This window comes from Homo sapiens, chromosome 14, assembly GCF_000001405.40.
Source record: "Homo sapiens chromosome 14, GRCh38.p14 Primary Assembly".
NCBI lineage: Eukaryota > Metazoa > Chordata > Mammalia > Primates > Hominidae > Homo > Homo sapiens.
Genome location: NC_000014.9, coordinates 61,802,330 through 61,820,847, shown reverse-complemented (window position 1 = coordinate 61,820,847; position 18,518 = coordinate 61,802,330). Strand labels below are relative to the sequence as shown.

Below are 18,518 nucleotides of genomic sequence, written 5' to 3'. Positions count from 1 at the left end.
AAGCTTTTTTAAAGCTCAATAATGGAACAGCCAGAAATTTTTCAGGCTTATCAACATCATTGAAGGGGCTTTTATAAAACTTCAGAGCCAGGAGGGCATTCAACTCTGAAAACTGAGGCGGGCTGATCACTTGGGGTCAGGAGTTCATGACCAGCCTGGCCAACAGGCTGAAACCCTGTCTCTTCTAAAAATACAAAAGTTAGCTGGGCATGGTGGCAGGCACTTGTAATCCCAGCTACTCAGGAGGCTGAGGCAGGAGAATCGCTTGAACCCAGGAGGCGGAGGTTGCAGTGAGCCGAGATCGTGCCACTGCACTCCAACCTGGGCGACAGAGCGAGACTACGTCTCAAAAAAAAAAAAAAAAAAAAAAAAAAAAAACTCTGAAGAGGTGCCCTGAAGCATATCCGCCCAGTGCTATAGCCATCCATCAGTCATTCCTGAGAGGGGTAGGCCACGAAGCCCAGAGAGATCGCCAAATGCACATCAGCGGAGAAGTGCTCAAAACCCTCTTGCCTCTTAAATCAAAGAGGTAGCTGTTGTAGCCCTTTTCACAGCCCATCAGTGAATTCTCCCAAGGTTTCTACAAGTTGTGTGTGTGCACATTTCACAAATCCACATGCTCATGGTACAAGTACACTTGCACAAAACAATAAACATTGGGGAAGAAAACATGATTATTACTTCTATTTAAAATCTGAGTTCTGCACCTTTGGGTGCTTGTCCTAGATTCTCTTCCCTAGTCTTACATTTGTACACAGATCATTTGTTCTTAATTTTATATTCCTCACACACAAAAAATGGAATCAATGACTAGGCACCCTGTTTCTGAGTCAGATTGTTCTCATAATATGAGGTACACCCTATGGGGAGGTACACGCCATTGGAAGGATCTTGTAGCAGGTAAAGGGACAGACATTTATTAATGCATATGTTGTGCCAGCAACTCTGTTCCATCTCTTTTACTCCTTGTAATTCCTCAGAGTGGAATAAGACAAAGCCTCCGGGAAGTTAAACAATTTACCTCTTACCCAGCCTTTGAGTGGCAGGACCAGAGTTCACGACTCAGGCACCTCTGGAACCAGGCCTGTGCTCTCTTCCACCATACCACACTCAGTTCTTCAATCTTTTGCAATTTCTATTGAGCTAAGCCAATTGAAAACCTCCTTGTAATTGGTAGGTTATCTGTATGGTGCTCTTTTGAATTAAGTATATAAACCAGGGGCATTTTCATGCAGGGTGGGTAAAATCATTTTATGTCTCTTAATCTTTGCTCCATTGTGAGTAAAATTATAGAATGTGACTTATTATATTCCTAAAATTAGACGCCAGAAGAATATTATATTCTCACAATAAGAAAATTTTATTCTAAAGGGGTAATATCCATCCATAAATGTAAACTACCTAAAATCAGATATGTATAATCCTTAATGGAAGGATGACAGCTGTGCATAAAATTTTTTTTGTAATATGCACTTCAGATACCTCTCCAATCTACTAGAAAGCACTGTCAGTGAGTTTGATTATCATCTTAATATACAGACAATTGTTAAATGGCATAATAGCCATCTTATCATTCATAATGCTAAATAATAGTTAATGACTAAATAATACCCTAGTGATCTAAAAGGACAAATGTCATCCAAATCTACTATACTCAGGAGAAGGGAAGGTTTATTCCTCCCAAGATGTCTGTCCCATTTCTTTTATAAAACATATAGACCAAATTTTAGATTCATTTAGAAACTCAGGTTGGTCAAGAAAAAGCTTTACTGGGTTTACCAATTCAAAGATGCCATGGTGAAATGAAAACATAGGAATTCTATTCAAACAGTATGAAATTATTTATGCTGATTTACTCTTAGAATGTTTCAATAAGATAACATCAACTGGGTAAATCAGTTGAGAATATTGCCACCATAACCATATTTATGTTTTCTTCTAGAATTTAATTCTTGGTTTAAAAACAGGAGGAGCAGTTTAGCAAACAAAACAAGAACAAGCAGGTTCACAGACCTTTTCTTCTACACTGTTTATAATTACCCAGGCTTAGTCAGCTTTTCAAACTTAAAACAAGTGCACAGCCCATATATGTCAAATCAGTACATTCCTCAGAACTCTGCTATTCTATAACATTAATAATATCTAAATGCTGTTTTTTTTTTTTTTTTTTGAGACAGAGTCTCACTGTGTCTCCCAGGCTGGAGTGCGGTGAAGCAATCTCGGCTCACTGCAACCTCCGCCTCCCAGGTTCAAGCGATTCTCCTGCCTCAGCCTCCCAAGTAGCTGGGATTACAGATGAGTGCCACCACGCCCTGCTAATTTTTGTAATTTTAGTAGAGATGGGGTTTCACCATGTTGATCAGGCTGGTCTCAAACTCCTGACCTCATGATCCACCCGCCTCGGCCTCCCAAAGTGCTGGGATTACAGGCGTGAGCCACCGCGCCTGGCTGCTGTCATCTATTATTGCAGAATTGCTACTGAAGTCTGATAAAAGCTTGGGGATTATGAGGAGGGAAGTATGCACAGAGGGGCAGTGAAGCATCATGATGTCTTGGATTTGCCTTCAAAATGCCTCTCCCAGAAAAGTGGGGGTGGAGGTGGAGATGGATGCAACAAGCCTGGTGAAATACCAACGCTCATTAAAGCTATGTGACCTGGATACATGGGGGTTCACTATACTATTCTCTCTTCTTGTGTATATGAAATTTTCCCTAATAAAAAGTTTTGTTAACATTATCACTTCACAACAGAATTAGGAGTCCAACGTTATTTATTTCAAAAAGTAAACTCAATAGTATTAGACCATAAAGCCTAGAATACAGATTAATAGCTCAGTGCTTTCATTTATAAACTCCCTCCCCCAAATTCGCAGAAAAGCTGCAAGAACAGCACAAGGAACTCCTAAATTTACCAAATGCTAACCTTCGGCCACCTTTGCTTTCTCTCTCATATGATACACATATACATATAAATGCACACATACATGCATATATCCTTTTTTCCTAAAGCCTTTGACATTTAGGTACAGATATCATGTCCCATGTCAACCACAATAAAAATATCAAATTTAAGAAATTTAACACTGATACAATGCTATTATCCAATATACAAGCCATATTCAAATCTCACCAATTATCACAACACTGTCCTTTGTCGCATTTTTTCCCTCATCTAGGATATAACCTGAAATCATCCATTGCATTTAGTGGTCTCTTTAGTCTTCTTCAATCTGAACAGTGCCTCAGCCATCTTTCATGACACTGACTTACAGAATGTCTCTTGATTTGCCTTTGTCTGATGTTTCCTCGTGATCAGAACCAGGTTATACATTTGTGGCACAGTAAGTGGCATTGTGTCCTTCCCGGTGCTTCCTATCAGGAAGTACAGGATATCAGTTTGTCCCATTATTCTTTTTTTTTTTTTTTTTGGAGATGGAGTTTTGCTCTTGTTGCCCAGGCTGCAGTGCAATGGCGTGATCTCAGCTCACTGCAACCTCTACCTTCTGGGTTCAAGAGATTCTCCTGCCTCCGCCTCCCAAGTAGCTGGGATTACAGGCGCCTGTCACCACACCCGGCTAATTTTTTGTATTTTTAGTAGAGACAGGATTTCACCATGTTGGCCAGGCTGGTCGCAAACTCCTGACCTCAGGCGATCCACCCGCCTCGGCCTCCCAAAGTGCTCGGATTACAGGCATGAGCCACCGCAACTAGCCCCATTATTGTTAATGTTAACTTTGATTATTTGGTTAAGTTCGTATACTCCAGGTTTTCCCCCCATTTTCCAATTAATAAATAATCTTTGGGGAAAATGCTTTTTTTGTGTGTGTGTGTGTGTGTGTGACGGAGCCTCACTCTGTCGCCCAGGCTGGAGTGCAGTGGCAGGATCTCGGCTCACTGCAAGCTCCACCTTCCGGGTTCACGCCATTCTCCTGCCTCAGCCTCCCGAGTAGATGGGACTACAAGCGCCCGCCACCACGCCCGGCTAATTTTTTGTATTTTTAGTGGAGACGGGGTTTCACCATGTTAGCCAGGATGGTCTTCATCTCCTGACCTCGTGATCCGTCCGCCTCGGCCTCCCAAAGTGCTGGGATTACAGGCGTGAGCCACCGCGCCCGGCCAAGAGTGGAAGTTCTTAACTAAGAAAGAAAGAGCTCTCTGCAGCAGAGAGGGATCCTAAAGAAATGGGTTGTCCTGGGGGAAATTCTTTAACAATGTAAATAATTCTGTTCCTCTTAAAATTTTCACATAACAGTTCAGCATCCATGGATGAATCTTGCTTGAATTAATTATTGCTATGATGGTTTCAAAGTAGTAATTTTCTAACTCTCTTTGTCTATATTTTTTAGTTGGCATCATTTGTAAACTTTTTAATAATGACTAGGGTTAGAAATCATTTAACTCAAGATTTTCCATCCATTTTCAGCCAAAGTGAAGCAATTTTCTTTTAAAGTCTAGGCATCTGAAATCCTGAATATCTCAAGTCACTGTTTAGCACTAGTTTCTAACGTGGACTTGTTGAGGGCTTATATTTGATCCCCGACCCCCACCCACCCTCTTCCAGGACTGAGCACTGAGTGGAAATTGCTGATGGAGTAGACAGGATGGGGAGAAAGGAAACTGCAGGTTGCCAACAAGAAAGAAGGAGGGAAAAAGTGGCTGCTGGTGGAGACTGACTGCAGGGCAGGAACATCAGCCTGGGATGCAACAGGCAAAAATGACACAAGATCAGCCAGGAAACCAGGAGCACCCAAACGGGGACAGATGTCTCCTTTTACAATACCAAATGTTCATCTGTCACAGCCCCAAAGACACATCCACCTGAAAACTGCCCAAGATTTCTGGGGTATAATAGAGTTAGATGTTTCCAACATTACCTAAACATGCCTGGCTGATCCTAAGAAATTATTCTTACAAACAGATTAAAGTGACTTCAAAACTAAACACCTATAAAAGGAAGTACTAATAATGCAACATATGCCATAAATGGAATAAAAAAATAAAATAGCGCTTCACTACTTTTGTGTTCTGGAAACAAAATATTATCTGGAATACTTGTCACTGAGGAAATCATGAAATAGTTCAGTACCCAAGTACCACCACTTTATATAACAGACTGGGATCTCAAAGTTCCTCACGATTTCATGATAACTTACTGAAAACCTAGTTGAAGCTCTCGAGTTCCCCTTTTCTCCTCTGGAATCTGCCCTTAGACAGCATGCTATCTAGATATAAGAACATTTTCTATTGGCTATGTTCTTTTTTGTGAACATTATAAGTTTCCAGGCAAATATTTTAAAAATATCTCCATATTTTATATAATTTACATGCTACATTCATATAGAAGGTCTTTCTGGATTCTCTCCAGAAATGACTGGAATAGAATACTTGGATTTCGCCTGGTTTTAGAACCAATTTTTCCCTCAAGGGGAAATTTTGTGGGGGAGAAAAATGGGGGTTGAGGGAAGCACTCAGCTATAGCCCTAAGGCAATATTGTGCCCAGGTTTGATTTATCTTATCGAGGTCATGTAGTCACTGCATGGTGACAAGACAGGACTGCTAAAGAAGTGATCATCACTCTGTTCCTACCTCCCTCTCACCTGTCACTTCCTCACCTGCAGAGGTAAGGAGAAGGACAGAGGAACAGTAGTTCCTGTATCACTGGAACTTGTTAGAAATGTGAATTCTCAGGATGCACCCCAGACTTACTGAATCAGGAACTCTGGGAGTGAAGTCCAGCGATCTGTTTGAATAAGTCCTCTGAGTAACTCTGATGCATGTTAAAGTTTAAGACCTCCTTTTTAAAAATACTGATGTCAGGGTCTTTTTTAAAGCTCTCTGGAGTAATTCTAATATGCAACTAGGACTAAGAACCAGAGCTAACTAAAGAATTCTGTATCTGGGAGAAGCCCTGGGCTCTACGTTTTCAAAATCATCTCCATGCTAACAGAAGGTTGTAGGACTTCGGGCTGCAAACATGGTCAAGCTTTGCGGGAAATTTTTCAAGACACTGACTGAGAATACTTTCCTTCTCTCCCTTTTGATAGTAGGGACACATAGTAAGCCTCTCACATTAGTTTTGAATAAGAAAAAAGACAAAATAATGTTTCTCCACAGTTTGGAAACCTTTCAGATTTCTAGCTCCATCTCAGCTAAGAAAGAACATAAGATTGAGCCTAAAAAACTGGTCAAGAGCTGAGATGGTCAGATATCATCATAATTTTTTCATAAACAAAATCAATGGGCAAAAGTTTGATTCTTCAGTACAGTTGAGTATACCATATAAGGAAGTAGAAGAAACATCAATCTAAATAAATTGGTATGGAAGCATCTCAGTTTATTTTTCTAGGGTACTAAATGTATCATCTTAACCAAAACATAAGAAAGTAAATAGCAGAACAGTGTCTCACTGCATGTGTGTGATGCACAGTTGCTGGTAGATACTTTGAACCCCTTTGCCTTTGTTTTTCATTAATAACACAATAAGGCCAAATCTCATGATCTCCTTCTTTGTTGAGTCTTACTTTGTTAAGTAAAGCTTCAACCATAATTTTTTTTCTAAACACACACACACACGAATGGAATCACACTTTGTATAAATGAACAGAGCTGAGGAAAGGGAAATTTGGCCCAAATTAGCTGATTTTACTGGAAACACCTGATCAACATTTTTCTCTTTAAAAAGGAGGAAAGCATGTTGGTATCCCCACACATATCAGATGATGGCAAAACAGCAGGGAGAGGACAACCACCATTTACTGAAGGCCACCTGTGTGCCCATCGCTTGTAAGAGCTATGAATGACAGCCTTGTCCTAATTTAGAGAAACTGAGGACAGTGCCATGGTCCCACTGCTAGGGAATTCTAGAGAGATAAAATACAGGTCTGTTTGACTACAAAAACTCAAGCTCTCCACACTATCCTAAAGCTGTGTTCTTGGCTGGGATGATTGTTTACAAGAAAAATAATAAATTATTGCAGAAATTTTGACATCTCATTTTCCCATCTCTTTTCCTCCTCACCTCTCAAAAAAAAAAAAAAAAAAATACCTTCCAAAGGGCCTCTGTAGCCAGCACACCATTTGATTTTTGTTTTTTTCCTCTGTGGCCCAGACTGGAGTGCAATGGCAGGGTCATAGCTCACAGCAGCCTCGCACTCCTGGGCTCAAGTGATCCTCCCGCCTCGGCCTCCCAAAGTGCTGGGATTACAGGCCTGAGCCAGCACATCCAGCCCCATTCACTCATCTAATGAAGTCCCTAACATGCGCCACACCTGTGCTAGGGACTTTGGATGCTAGGTACGCAGGTGTGACTTGGTTTTACTCTGAACTCCCTTTGAAGCTTCACTAATACGTATCTGGCTTCAAACGCAACTAACTTAACCAGTTTTCACAGACGGGATTCCAATTTCCAAAGGCACTGAGCCATAAGAGCAGCGGTGCCAAGATGCCAAAAGCAGGCCAACCCAGCGCCTTCCAACGCTTCCATTCAGAGTTTCAACCTGATGTCTCCAGGCACTCCTCCCACCCACTGACCATGGTAACCAGATGCGGTCTCCAGCCGGCCTTGTGCTGCCCGCTGCGAATACAGCCCGTGGGCCACCGGGCAGCCGAGCCATGCAAGCCACCCTGATCCCCAAAAGGCAGACGCACAAACCCGACCCAGAACTCGAGGCGAACCTTGAACTCACAGCGCCAAAAACGCGCAGTGCCTTCGTTTGCCCGGCTCGCTGAAGGCTGGCTCTGGGCCTGGGGGCAGTGCCCGCGAAGGGCTGCGATGGCAGGCCCCGCTGCCACACGGCATCGAGGGTCCCTCCGCCTCGGCGCCAGGCGCACGCCCTTCTGCCACATCCCTCGCGGGGCGCGCCGCCAGGGCCACCTGCCCTTTCAAGCCCCGCCAGGCAGCCAAGGGTGAGGAGCGGAGAGGGACCCGGCCGCTGCTGCCGCGAGCCAGCACAAAGGCAGCGTCTGAAATCGAACTTCCCACCCTGGGCACCGCGGCCTCCCCCCACCCCTGGCCTCCGCGGCCGGAGCGCACTCACTGTCAGTCGCCATGGTCGGACGAGGGGGCTGCCCGACGGCCGCCCAGGTTCGGGAAACCGGCGCCGAGCCCGGCCGGGCGCGCGCTCCTCGGCAGGCCCGGTGCGCTCGGGGGCCGCGCCGCGCACAGCCCCTCCTGCCGCGCGCCCCCGCCGCGCCGCGCCGCCCCGCGCCGCCCCGCGCCCAGCAGCCGCCAGCCCTGCGGCCGCCGCCGGCGTCCTGAGAGCCCAGCCTCCCGGGCAGAACGGCCGAGCTGCGGCGCCTAGAGGCTGGATCTCCCCCTCCTCGCCTCGCCGCGTCCGTCCCCCTCCCCTCCTTTCCTTTCCCGCCCCTCCCCCAAAGAGGATGCTCGCCGCAACTTGGAAACACGCTCCCGGCCACGCTAGGGTCGCCTCTCCACGCCACCTTTCCTACAACGTTCCCGCTATATCCTTGTTTTCGAGTCACCTTTTCCATTCTCCGCTTCATCCCTACCTCGAGCTTCTCACCAGCGGGGTTGGGACCCCATGCTCAGCCCCAGCTGGAAGGAGCAAAGCGGGAGAAGAGCTAGGGGTGTGGGGAGGATGAGCCAGGTGCTGGGCATTAATCCTCCGGGGCAGGAGCTCTCCTGCGAAACCGCTCAACGCCATCTCCGTAGGCTCCAAGTGGGCCGTGCTCTTCATGTCACCCTCTGTTTTGTCTCCGATGTGAAAATAGTTCCCAGCACGTAGTAGGCTCTCAGCAGATTTCTGTTGAGTGGGTGAATGGATGTCTTTATAACTGGATGCCTGCATGAATGAATGAATGAATGGCCAACTAACTGATTGGACGTCCACTGGATGAGCAACTGATACATGATCATAGCCAACTACAGCCCTGCCACTGACTAGGGATGGACGCTAGAGTAAGTAAGTGGACCAGGCCGAATGAGTGAGCCGGAGTCTTGTGCCTCACAGGCCATTGTGGTTCAGGAGGGCTCTGAACTGAGGCTGTCAGTTCAGAATGATGTTGTATACATCTTCTTGAAGTCCAAAAACCAATTTCTGATGGATTATTGGATTATTCTGCCATTACTTTTGCACCAACCTAATATATTAGGGGACAGTTGTACATTAGAAACCCCCGTCTCCACCACCAGATCCATCATGTGAAGGATCAAATGGCTCAAACACATCCCCTAAATTACATGGCAGGCTAGATACTTCTTAAAGATACAATACATTTCGCCCAGGCATGGTGGCTTAAGCCTGTAATCCCAACACTTTGGGAGGCCAAAGTAGGAGAATCACTTTAGCCCGGGAGTTCAAGTCTGCAGTAAACTATGATTGCACCACTGCACTCCAGCCTGGGTGAAAGAGCAAGACCCTGTCCCTAGTTTTTAAAAGAAGAAAAAAGGGCCGGGTTCACGCCTGTAATCCTAGCACTTTGAGAGGTCTAGGCAGGTGGATAGCTTGAGCCCAAGAGTTTGAGACAAGCCTGGGCAACATAGTGAGACCCTGTCTCTAGAAAAAATAAAACAAAAATTAGCCAGGCTGGTGGTGCATGCCTGTGGTCCCAGCTACTCAGTAGGCTGAGGGGGAAGATCACTTGAGGCTGGGAGGTGAAGGCCGCAGTGAGCTGAGATCATACTACTGCACTCCAGCCTGGGTGACAGAATGAGACCCTGTCTTAAAAATAAAATAAAATAAAAATACAAAGATACAATCCATTTGATGCATTTGGAGATGCACATTCAACCCAATCAGCCCCGGGCTGGATGCTGAGAAGACTCAGGAGCAAGGCTCCCGTCTGCCTATCCACTAGCTCCCACGTGGCTAGGCAGACAGAAAACTGCCAGAGAACAACACAGGAGTCCTCTCTGGTCAGTTCACAGAGCACGATGAGGGAGAGAATATTCTGATCAGGCTCCACATTCTGATTCAGTCCACCTAGAGTAGCACTTAGGGGTGTCCTTTTTTTAAATTGTGTTTAGCCTTTATTTGTTTTAACACAGGTGATTCTGAAGCAGACTTCTAGTTAAGAACCACAGAGACCTGGTTCATTTGTCTTTCACAACAACCATCTGCAGTAGACCCAAAAGCCAACACTCTGGAAGTGGGTTGGATGGGGAAAAGGAAAAAAGAATTAAACATGACCCTGGAGTCTTTAACCTGTTTGGAGCTCACAAACCAGGAGGTTAAAGGAAAAAAGAATTAAACATGACCCTGGAGTCTTCAACCTGTTTGGAGCTCACAAACCAGGAGGTTAAGCTGGTGTGAGGGCAAAAAGGGTGGGTTGGGCTTGGATTCAATTGAAGGGTCAGTGGAACATGTGTGAGGCTCCTTATGCATTAATCAAACTGGCTTTTCCAAATGAGAAAAAGGAAAAAAAATGACAATTCAAAGGATATGTTCAATAAATGATTTCTGAATAATGGACCTGTTGGATAGCAGGTTTGCATAGCACCAGATGTCAGATGAGAAGGGGTTAATGAACAAGTAGATTTCATAGAGGCGGAGGCCCCAAGCATAGATAATTCTCTTAAAAAGTTTAATGGTGAAGGAATGAAAGAGGATGGAGAGCTTTGGAAGAGAGCAGGATCAAGATAAGATGGGTTTTTTGTTTTGTTTTGCTTTAAGATAGATTTCTGTACACATATTCAAGTATTTAATATATAAAAGAATAAATTTTCACTTTTCTATAACCAAATTAACTTTCTGGCCCAAGCCCCTATTAGACCCATTGTTAGGGAGTTTGATTTTACTCAGTTCAAGGTAAACATCGATTCAGGCTTTTCTCAGGCAATTCAGAGTTTTCCTTCCCCATTTTTTCTTGGGGTTGCATCCATGTTTGGAAGGACAGGTTGGGTAGCATCAGGGATGGTAAGAGGTATCAGGCCCCATCTGTCCCTTTTGGGAGGTACCTCTTCTGTCTGGACCTCAGAGCTCGTCAGACCTCCACAGCCATGAGTGTGGGTGGCAGCCACCACTCTGTCTTCTCCTCCACACCAAAGCCCCTTCAGGTCTGACTTTTTCTCCTTGACTTTCCTGTTGCTCTGGAGAGGACAAGTTTGGCTACTCACCCATTCCATTCTAAGAAAACAGTGAGATCTGTGGAGTCTCAGGCCTTTTCTAACAAGCCAAACAACCATTTCTTTCTTACCATTCCCTTACTATGTGGTGGAGGGGAGCTCTGCATGATGGACCACCAAGCAAGACATTTAATGTGACATGAGACAAAGGTCCCCTTATGGCTCAATTTCCCCAGCCTATCTGGAAGTTCTACCACCTCCCAGCCAATGCATGACAATGGGATGCTTTTCTAAGAAGGGGTATTGGATGTTTTCAGCCCCATGTAACTGCATAAGGTGGCTTAAACAATAACACACCTTGTTATATATCAAGGGATCCACCCGTGGTTGATTTAGCATCTCCACAACGCCCATAAGAACTTGGACTCCCCACTTTCCTCCTCGGCAGTAAGGCTGCTGCAGCACAAAATCTCCCAAATCTGGTAGGAGAGGGGGATATTCCTCCTTGTCATTCTCACTCTTTTTTTTTCTTTTTTCTTTTTTTTTTTAATTTGAGACAGAGTCTCACTCTGTCTCCCAGGCTGGAGTGCAGTGGTGTGATCTTGGCTCACTGTAACCTCAGCCTCCCGGGTTTAAGTGATTCTCCTGCCTCAGCCTCCCGAGTAGCTGGGATTACAGGCTTCCACCACCATGCCCAGCTAATTTTTGTATTTTTAGTAGAGACAGGGTTTCACCATGTTGGCCAGGACGGTCTCAATCTCCTGACCTCAAGTAATCCACCCACCTCAGCCTCCCAAAGTGCTGGGGTTACAGGCGTGAGCCACCGCGCCCAGCCTCGTCTCTTTCTTTTTATCAGAGAAAGAAATCTTTGTAAAAGCCCTCAAAGGCCTTCTCCACCATTCTGGTGGCACTGGAGGCTGGGAACGCAAGCATCTGTTATTTTCAGCGTTTATGGCACAAAGTGGATTCTGCCAACAAGGAAGAAGGGGGTGGGAATGACTGCCTGGCCCACCGTCAGTGTCTGCCATCGTCTTCGTATACCCTCGGCAGACTCTTGCCTCACTGCTGTCCTTTATGTCCCTTCCCCTCTCCATGGCTAAGGAAACCTATCTCCTAACAGGCTGGAAAACTCACTCTTGAAACATCCTGCTTTCTTGCAAATCTCTGTGTCTTACATTTGGACCTTCACCTTTGAAATTCAAAAGCCAAGATTTTGGATCTTTTGGTTGCCTCCACACCTAAGGCCGGAGATAGTAAAGTTTAGTTAGAGATGGGGAGACCCATATGATACGTGAAATTATGTAACAGGAATGAAAAATGCATAACTCCATAGCAAGCTAGGATTTCTTCAGTACACTTATGAAGCAAGAGGAAAGAGCCACTAGAGAGGAAAGATCTAAAATGCAAAGAAAAGGCCAGGCGTGGTGGCTCACACCTGTGATCCCAGCAATTTGGGAGGCCAAGGAGGGCAGATCACCTGAGATCAGGAGTTCGAGACCACCCTGGCCAACATGGTGAAACCTCATCTCTACTAAAACTACAAAAATTAGCCAGGCGTGGTGGCAGGAGCCTGTAATCCCAGCTACTTGGGAGGCTGAGGCAGGAGAATCGCTTGAACCTGGGAGGCGGAGGTTACAGTGAGCCGAGATCACACCATTGCACTCCAGCCTGGGTAACAGAGGGAAACTCTGTCTCAAAAATAAAATGCAAAGAAAGGTAGGAACAGGTGTTAGTGGCAGCATGGCCAGGACAGGCAGAGAATTTCATCTTTGATAAACGAACCATTTTCAGTCTCAGAAACATAAGTAGAGAAAGAGAATGTTATGATGCAAAAGGATTTTATGAAGAGGGAGGTTGAGGGAGCTCAGGCATGCGATGTGGTCTCAAGTTTCTCTACAATATAGGACCTGAGCTTAGTTGCCAAGAAGGAAGTGGAAGAGGTGGATTTGAGGATTTAGGAGCATGGAAGAGGTTTTAAGATGTCTCTATTAGGAAGAGGAAATGAAAGGGATGAATAGAAGAGAAGGACTTCCGGCCAGCAGTGGGGGCCCTCCTGGAATTAGACCTCAGAAGTGCAGAAGGCAAGGCAGCCATTTGGAAGCAGGTAGTGGAAGCAAATGGAAATTGAATTCTGGGTTACTGTGTCCCCAAAATAGCCAGCCATAGGGCTCAGGGGGTTGGAAGAAATGAGTGAAGCCACAGCAGGAGTGAAGAGGGAGAATGCTGAGGAGAATGCCCAGGGCCTGGAAACCTTGAAGATGAAGGGTAGGAGGACAGGCTCAGGTGGTCTGGGTGAATGTTAGCTCTTGGGACTGTATATACATAATAGAGATTGGGACAGAGAAAGGGCAAGACTGAACAATTGCATTAAAAATGTTTTAGCTGGCCAGGCACGGTGGCTCAAGCCTATAATCCCAGCACTTTGGGAGGCCGAGGCAGGCGGATCACGAGGTCAGGAGTTCAAGACCAGCCTTGCCAACATGGTGAAACCTTGTCTGTACTAAAAATACAAAAATTAGCTGGGCGTGGTGGCACGTGCCTGTAATCGCAGCTACTCGGGAAGCTGAGGCAGGCAGGAGAATTGTTCGAACCAGGGAGTCAGAGATTGCAGTGAGCTGAGATCATGCCACTGCACTCCAGCCTGGTGACAGAGCAAGACTCCCTCTCAAAAAAAAAAACCAAAACAAACAAACAAAAAAAAAAAAACTTCAGCAAAGATAATTTATGATTCTTGCAGGGCTCTTCTGACTTATTTGCCATAATTGTAATTCAGATGTCACCATTCACATTGCTTAAGTTAATTTCCAGAATAAGGTAGGACAAAGACCTTTTATACAACTGCACAGAAGTTACTGTATAGGCCCTCTGACCCTTGGCTGATGACCGCATCCTGCTGACTATATCAACACTCCGGCTATAAACAAGAAATGAGAGCAAGGCAGGGTGAAGGGCTGCAGCCACATGCTGAGTGGGTCTGTGTCACCGTGGAGACTATTTCTGGTTGAAATAGCTATTGCTTTTTCTTTGTTGCCGTAGGTGGAAATGGAAAAATTATTTTAGCTGTGCGTGTGGCCTGCAAGCTACTGAGCATTTTATCTGACACCAAAGGAGAGGCATTTTTTAATTGTTTTTATAGAACTTATCTTTGAGTTTCATTAGGTGTCTATATCTCTTTGCAATAGTATCTCTGTATATTTCCTAAGCCTCTGAACTCAAGAACTTCAGAACATTCAAATATGACATAGAATATGGTAATAAAAATTATAGGATCTTAAAAATAGCCATTAGATAATAAATAGGATTACGTTCTGATTTAATCCTTGCAAGTCATATGGAGAATGAACAGAAGTAAGACAGGGCCACTCAGGTAGAATTCTGGTCTGGAAGGTGGAAGGCAGGGCCTAGGTTTGATGGTTAAATTTCCAACAATGACTGGAGAAATTCAGTGACCTAAACCCAGAAAACCACTGGCTTATGGTTGCCTGTCTCCCACTCCAAGTTGTCCCTATGCTGTCTGAACACGTACAGGCAAGGCGAGTAGTTAAGGAATCTATGAGGTAGAAATTTACAAGTAGAATTAAGTGTGGGAATAACCAGTTTCAGGGAAAAATAAGAGTCTGTAGACTAGGCAGACAAGTAGGTCAAACGGATGGCTGTACTGTTCAAAGCCATATGTGTGAATACTCTATTGATATTTTTATTGTCACTAAATAAAGCCTATTTTTAAAAAGTACTTTTTAGGCTGAGCACAGTGGATCACGCCTGTAATCCCAGCACTTTGGGAGGCCAAGGCGGGAGGATCACTTGAGGGTCAGGAGTTCGAGACAGCTTGGTCAACATGGGGAAACCCCATCTCTACTAAAAATACAAAAATTAGCCAGGCATTGTGGTGTGTGCCTGTAGTCCCAGCTACATGGGAGGCTGAGGCAGGAGAATTGCTGGAACCCAGAAGGTGGAGGTTGCAGTGAACCAAGATTGCGCCACTGCAGTCCAGTGTGGGTGACAGAGCAAGACTCTGTCTTGGGGGAAAGAAAAAAAAAAGGACTTTTTAGCAGTCATTCAAAAAATAGCCCAAAAAGTACACAGTTATGGAAATAACACTAACAGTCTCAAGCAAGACACACTCACCCTGGGGTTAAGTATGCTTGGACGAGAGAGAGAACAGGGACCCAGGAATGCATTATCATAAATCTCCATTTTTGCCAAAGACAAGCCTAGGCCAGCTTTCACCAAGTATAAGCCTCAGATTACCCAGCCCAGAATCACCTGGAAAATTGTTAAAAATGCAGATTTTTAGCCCCTAACCAACACTTACTGGATCTGAAGCCAGCAATGGGACACTGTAATCCGCACATGAGCTAGCCGGGTGTTTCTAATACATCCTAATACATCTAATACTTACCTAGCTCAGGTAGCAGCAGCTGGTTACAGAATAATAAAACTGCCTGGAGACCTGGAATTTCACACCTAGGAGTTTCTGCTTCAGTTTTCTCTATCTACAATGAAGAGCCACTAAATGCTGACAAGTAGCCACTAGGAAACAAATTTAGTGTTAACAAACTTTTAAAATATCTTACTCATATCTAATTAAAGATATCTATTTTGAAAGTCTTCTTATCCTTCTTTTTATCCTCCATGAAGATAGTGAACTGGTCACAGTTCTCTATAATTAAGTCCTCATTTACTAACTGTCTTAGTCTCTTTGGGCTGCTATAATAAAACGCAGTAAACTGGGTGCTGGTAAGCAACATAAATTTATTTCTCACAGTTCTGGAGGCTGGGAAGTCCAAGATCAAGTAGCTGGCAGATTCAGTGCCCAGCAAGGGTCCATTCCTCCCTGTCACCTCACACGGTGGAAGGGGTAAGGGGTCTCTCTGGGGCCTCTTTTATAAGGGCACTAATCACATTCATGAGGGCTCTACATGAATGTATTCTTTGCAATACTTATACAATATCCACTGAGGTTCAGACTCGTGTGTGGTGGTTAAAATCGTAGGCTCTGGAGCCAGACCACATGGCTTCCAATAACAGCCTCACTACTCACCAGCTCTGTGATCTTAAGCATACTACATGCCATCTTTGTGCCTTTGTTTCTTCTTCTGATAAATTAATACCCACTAGGACTTTCCACTTCTGGCAGGATGACAGACAGATATTTTCAAAGGGCCTTCTCATCCCTCCTGAATATACTACTAAAGAAAAAGGTTAATGCATTCCTGTGCTCACCAGAAAGTAGCAGAATCTCCAAGGAGAAAAACAAAACAATTAGCTGAAACCAGAGCAAGAGGCAGTAGGATATTAAGCAAGTGGAGTAGAAACCAATGAAGCAGAGTTCATCTAATAATTCCTGAAATCAAAAGATCAAACTTGGAGTGTAACCTAAGATTCCAAGGACTCAAAGGACTTTAGAGGTATCAGAACAATAGTATTCTTGGCTCATAGCAGAATCAAACATAAATCCTCTCTAAAGGAGAGCATCCCAAATTAAATCCACAGGATTCAGTATAAGAAAATTTGAGCTCCAAATAAAGATCACCACCAAATACAACAAGGATACAAATCACCAAGAGTGAGAATCAGCAAAACAACAAATAATAGACTGACTGGTTGAATTGCAGATACTGAAATTAATATACAGGATGTAAATTAATTATGCTTGAAATATTTGAAGAAATAAAATATGAAACTGAAAAGCTAATCAAAGAACAAGAAAATATAAAACGTATCTAGACAGATATAAATAAACTCTCAGATACAGAACAAAAAAAGTAAAAATTAAAAACTAAATGGATGGAGCTATTGACCAGGCCAGGACTTATCTCCTCTTGGCACCACAAGTTTCAGGCCAAACGAGGCCTTCCTAGTAGGCTACACCTGCCTGGTTTCATTTCCTGTAGTCATCTAGCCTGTACAAATTGCTAGAGATAGTCTCCTCATTTTGTTAAAACTTTATATCAGAAAACATATTTAAATCCACCAAAGAACAAGGTGATTCTGACTTGACAACCCTGAGGAGTCACTCTATATTCTTCATTTTCTTTTCTGAGGAAATTCAGTCTCAATTATGGAGATCCAGAAACATTATAAAGCAATTTAGTCCTAATTCTATCAAGGGTAGTTTTGTGAATGAATTATATTTGTAAATATAAGGGATTTTTTTAAGTGGTAACAAGACAAACTATATCTTGTGACTGGCTGGTTCATCTTTATTTACAAATAAACAGGATGATTTTCCAAACATACACTCTCTAAATAAAGGACAGTGTATTCAGTTTTTAAATACGAAACAAAAAGTTTCTGCTGGGAAAATTTTATGAGCAACTTGTTGAAATTTACAGAGAGAATACATTCAGTTAACCACCTACAGTAAAATGACATGTTAGCAAGAGAAGCAATATACCAATTATGCTGCAAGAAACTAAGAGATAAATCAACTATTTAAAACATGTAATAAAGGCAGAAGAGTTAACCATTTGTGAGACTTTAGCAAAATTCATTTCATTTAAAATCAGACACACCATAAGAAGTTCAGGTCCAACAAATCTTGTGGGTGTTGCCTTCCCTAAAAGTGATCAACTAGCTAGGCAGAATGGCTGGCACCTGTAGGCCCAGCTATTTGGGAGGCTAAGACAAGAGGATCTCTTGAGCCCAGGAGTTCGAGACCAGCCTGGTGGATATTATGAGGTCTCATTGCAAATAAATAAATAAATAAATGTTGTCAACTGAAGCTAACATAGCCCATTTAATTGTTACGGTGTTGAAGTATTTAAAAATTAGCCTGCAGGTAAAGTAATTACATGAAGGTTTTCTTTTTTATTTGTCTTAAGTAAGGTTTTTTAAAACCTCATATTAAAGTGCCTGCAAGAAAAAAATAGTGCATATAAAAATATTTTCCTCAGAGCATAATCTGTAATTAGCCTGATCAAGCTTTGTAGCTTGCAACCAAGAGCAAATTAATAACATAATTGATTCTATAGTGCTTAGCATTTACGGAAGATTAGCCTCCTTGAAAAATCAGGGATTTTTACCCTATTTTCAGAAGTGCGTCAATTTATTTCAAGCCATTAGGTTAACAAGACACTAAATTATGATCAAATAGCATTTGGGTGACTTAAATGAGTTAAGTCATACTCCCAATCTAATTGGAATCTTCGTAAATTAGGAGACACCCTGCACAAATCCAGGGAAGATGGTTCAGTAACTTCAGGGTAAATAGGGGGATGTCACCTAATGATTACTTTCCGTGATAGCAACTGTAAGGGATTCAATGCTGTAAAGGAGATATGCATGTTTATACAACTTTACCTGAGTGCACTCCCCTGTCCATGGCACTGGGCAGGTAGGACTCAGGCAGAATGTCATAGTCTTACCTATCTGAGGAGTCAGAGAATGGAGTTTGGGCTGTCAGAGTGGTTAGAAGTCAAGATGGGAAATCCCTAAAAGGAGCAATCATAGAAACTCCAAAATCTGTGTATAAAATCCCCTCAGATCTTT

At 43.7% G+C, this 18,518-nt stretch overlaps 1 protein-coding gene across 10 annotated transcripts in view; it reads right to left on the bottom strand.

The window, feature by feature from the left end:
* SYT16 (synaptotagmin 16) overlaps positions 1 to 8,686 on the bottom strand; it is a 300,664-nt gene extending 291,978 nt beyond the window's left edge. For 9 of the 10 annotated variants that reach the window (NM_001367661.1, NM_001367659.1, NM_001367657.1 and 6 more), the window contains exon 1: positions 8,038 to 8,145. Coding sequence is in view for 3 of the 10 variants with exons in the window: in NM_001367652.1 (NP_001354581.1) it covers positions 8,038 to 8,050 (13 nt within the window). In the remaining 7 variants the exon portion in view is untranslated. Of the gene's footprint in view, positions 1 to 8,037; positions 8,146 to 8,509 lie in introns of those variants that run through there. The other variant, NM_001367650.1, reaches the window with a different exon arrangement.
* Positions 8,687 to 18,518: the final 9,832 nt, after the last annotated feature.